This window comes from Homo sapiens, chromosome 8 (genome assembly GCF_000001405.40).
Source record: "Homo sapiens chromosome 8, GRCh38.p14 Primary Assembly".
Classification (NCBI taxonomy): Eukaryota; Metazoa; Chordata; class Mammalia; order Primates; family Hominidae; genus Homo; species Homo sapiens.
The window spans coordinates 114,343,703-114,347,927 of record NC_000008.11 but is presented as its reverse complement, the minus strand read 5'-3'; positions in this window follow the sequence as shown (position 1 = coordinate 114,347,927).

The window sequence follows — 4,225 nt, the reverse complement described above, 5'->3', positions numbered from 1 at the left end:
AGAGCTGTAACAGAAGCATGATGCATGATATTGACAGGACATAAAATGTGCAATAAAAAATGTTTAAAATCTCTTTAAAATTTTATTATAAGTTTAGGGGTACAAGTGCAGGTTTGTTACATAGGTGAACTTGTGTCATGGGAGTTTGCTGTGCAGATTATTTCATCACCCATTTTTTTCCTGATCCTATCCCTCCTTCCACCCTCCACCTTCCTAAAGGCCCCAGTGTGTGTTGTTCCTCTCTATGTGTCCATGTGTTCTCATCCTTTAGTTCCCACTTGTAAGTGAGAACATGAGGGATTTGGTTTTCTGCTCCTGCGTTCGTTTGCTAAGGATAATGGCCTCCAGCTCCATCCAAATCTTAATTGTTTCATTTATTTTTCAGTTGTATGGATTTGGGTACCTCATTTAAATTTCTGAATCTTAAATATTTTATCTGAAAATGTTACATTATTGAGTTTGGAGAAGTGGGAAATGTAAAAAGGAAGTGCAGGGGGAGAAGGAGGAAGGGAAGAAGGAGGAGGAAGAGGAGGTAGAAGAAGAAAAGGAAATAGAAGGAGGAGAAAGAGGAAGACGAGGAGAAAAAGAGAAAGAAAAGCAGCAGCAAGAGGGAAACAAAAGTTCCACAGTAATCCAGTTGCTAGAAACATCAACATTAAATTCTAAATTTGTAAGAGAGTTAAGGTTATGAACCCACATTTGCAAATTTTGAAGCGCTATCATCTGAAAAGATGAGGTTTCCATTAAAAAAATATATCCTAGTATCATTTTATAGTTATTTATTTACTTATGTATTTATTTATTTTTTGGAGATGGAGTCTGGCTCTGTTACCCAGGCTGAAGTGCAGCAGTTCAATCTGAGCTCACTGAAACCTGCAACTCCTGAGTTCAAGTGATTCTCCTGCCTCAGCCTCCTGAGTAGCTGAGATTACAGGCGTGTGCCACCACACCTGGCTAATTTTTTTTCTTTTTTTGAGATGGAGTCTCGCTCTGTCACCAGGCTGGAGTGCAGTGGCACAATCTCGGCTCATTGCAACCTCCACCTCCCAGGTTCAAGCGCTTCTCCTGCCTCAGCCTCCCAAGTACCTGTGACTACAGGCACACACCACCATGCCCAGCTCATTTTTGTATTTTTAGTGGAGATGGGATTTTGCCATGTTGGCCAAGATGCTCTCAATCTCTTGACCTCATGATCCGCCCACCTCAGCCTCCTATAATGTTGGTATTACAGGCGTGAGCCACTGTGCCCGGCCTAATTTTTGTATTTTTAGCAGACACGGGGTTTCACCATGTTGCCCAGCTGGTCTCCGAACTCCTGACCTCAAGTGATCCACTCGCCTTGGCCTCCCAAAGTGCTGGGATTACAGCTGTGAGCCACTGTGCCAGCCCATTTTATAGTTTTGAACTCATTGTACATAAAATGAAGAAAAGTATGCTTTTGTTTAAAAACTCAGACTGTATTTTTAAAAAATAAATCTAGCCCACACATTTAGCAATTTTTGAAGACTGTAGACATTTATATGAAGGCAAATCTATCATGTAACAGCCAGCCATCAGAGCCCCCACAGATAATAACCCTGTTGAAGAGTCATCCTACATTCCCAGGCTGTTTTCTGCTCAACTGCCTGATATGTATAGGGCTCTACATGTAAAATGAGCCCACAGACGATGTCACATTATAGAAAATGGTAGGACTCTTCCCAAGTCTGAGGTGTGAACCCATTCTTTGTTACATTTTTCTAGCTGTATACATGATTGTTTCATCATAGACCTTTTTTGGTTTCTACCTTCATTTAGTATCTGAATTACCAGGCTTTTATATCAAGTGACAAAACCCTACAATTATTTCTATCTATGATAATTCTGGTTGCACTGTAGGAAACTGACTGGATTAAAAGTATTGCTATTTATTGAGATTGAAAATCTAGGAACAAAGTATGTCTGGGTCTCATTTGAACTAGTTCAGTCTGAGATATCTACTAGGCATCCAAGTAGCAATTAAGAAAGGGGATTTTGGATATATGAAAATCAACTCCTTGAAAATTTTCTTCTTCTTTTTTTTTTAAACATGGTTTCACTCTTTTGCTTATGCTGGAATTGATCATAGATCATTGCAGTCTCAAACTCCTGGGCTCAAGCAATCCTCCTGCCTCAGCCTCCTGAGTAGCTAGGACTATAGGCACATGCCACCATCCCTGGCTATTAAAAAAAAAAAAATTATAGAGGCCAGGTGCTGTGGCTCATGCCTGTAATCCCAGCACTTTGGGAGGCTGAGGCGGCTAGATCACAAGGTCAGGATTTTGAGACTAGCCTGACCAACACGGTGAAACCCCGTCTCTACTAAAAATACAAAAATTAGCCAGGCTTGGTGGTGCACGCCTGTAATCCCAGCTACTCAGGAGGCTGAGGCAGGAGAATCGCTTGAAACCGGGAGGTGGAGGTTGCAGTGAGCCGAGATTGCACCACTGCACTCAAACCTGGGTAATAGAGAGAGACTCCACCTCAAAAAAAAAAAAAAGAAAAAAATTATACGCATAGTGTCTCGTTATGTTGCTCAGGGTGGTCTTAAACTCCTGGCCTCAACTGATCTTCCTATCTCAGGATCCCAAAGTACTGGAATTACAGGTATGAGCCACCATATCCGGCTGAAGATTTTTCTTAAAGGCAGTAAGAATATTAGGTTTAAACAATTTGTCTTTGCTTAAAGAAATATTTATTGAGGGTATTTTTTTGACAAATATCTTATTTTCTCCTCCTATTCTCCCTTAAAACTTGTTCATTTAGCCACTCTTTGAAAATGATTCTGATGAACAAGTCCCAAAGATGGTTATGTGGTTATGTAACTGTGCTGGCTTTTCAAATTAACTTTTAAAGTAATAGTTCCTTTATAAAACAAATTCTACAAAAGGGAATAGAAAGGAAAGAATCCTAAATGGTAGAGAAGAAACTATGGGAAAAGAATAAAGTTAGGTTATGATACAAAAAGTTTGAGCCAGATAGAACTGGCTTTAAATAATTACTCCACAACCAATACATGATAACAGAAAGTTCATAATCTCTTTGAGCCAAATCTTTCATTTTTAATTATTAATATGATAATCAGTTGCATTTTATTAAATTCTAATTGAGATTACATTATCAAACATGGAAAATTTTGTATGGCATAACCTACTATTTAACTTACAAGACTCAATGTTGTCAAGGTTAATGAGAAATACAATATAAATCTTTTGGTCATAATAGAAACCCATTGAATTTAATACACTCTAACACATCCAAAGACGATGTTAGCTTTCTCAAAATATCTGATGTTGGTGACTACTTCTTGCAAGACAGAAATAATTGCTTGCTCATGTTCAAGCAGTTTTACAAACATGAAAAAAGCACCATTAAGATATCAAATTGCTTTACTATTAAATGAAAAAGAAATGATTAATAAATAGAGGTAAATAAAAATGTAACTAATGTTTTAGAGAATCAAGAGAATATCAAAACAGGAAAAAACTTAGAATTTTAGGCTTGGGAAAGTTCAATAGGTCATGCAGCCCCATAATAATTCAACTGTATTTCCTAATCAATTCCCTTTTATTTGTCAATGTTTACAAACTGTACTAAAAAATAATGATGATAATAATAATGATAAAACAATTTTAGTAAGATTATATCTTAAATAGATACAATCAGTCACTTCATAAAACTCTGTACCTATGAGTCATATGTGCAAGAGATGTGAATCCAGGTATAATTAGAAAGTTGAAATCACTCTTTTGAGATTGTGTTTGAAATCATACATGCTACGCTGGATTTGTTAATCCATTCAACAGATATCAAATAAACAGTATTTTAAAGAAATTTTTTAACTATTGGAGCAATATCGGTAAAGTCTCTGCCTTTACAGACGTTTCATTCTGGAATATTGATATTTATGTTAAATTAAATTATAATGCTTAATTATATATGTCTGTAATAAGATAGGTAAGGATTGATAAACAATAATAGCTAAAATTTGATGGGTATTTGCATTGTGGCAGGCACTGAGCCAAACAGTATTCTGCATTATCTAATTTAAATCTAATAAAACCCATATAACTTGCTTAGCACATTTTTCTAAGTTTATAAATGAGAAGACAGGAACATAAAAAATTAACTAGGTTAGATAATGTCTCTCAGAAAAGAGACTATCAATAAATGAGTATGAGACAGAATTTGCTTTGCAGTATTAAAG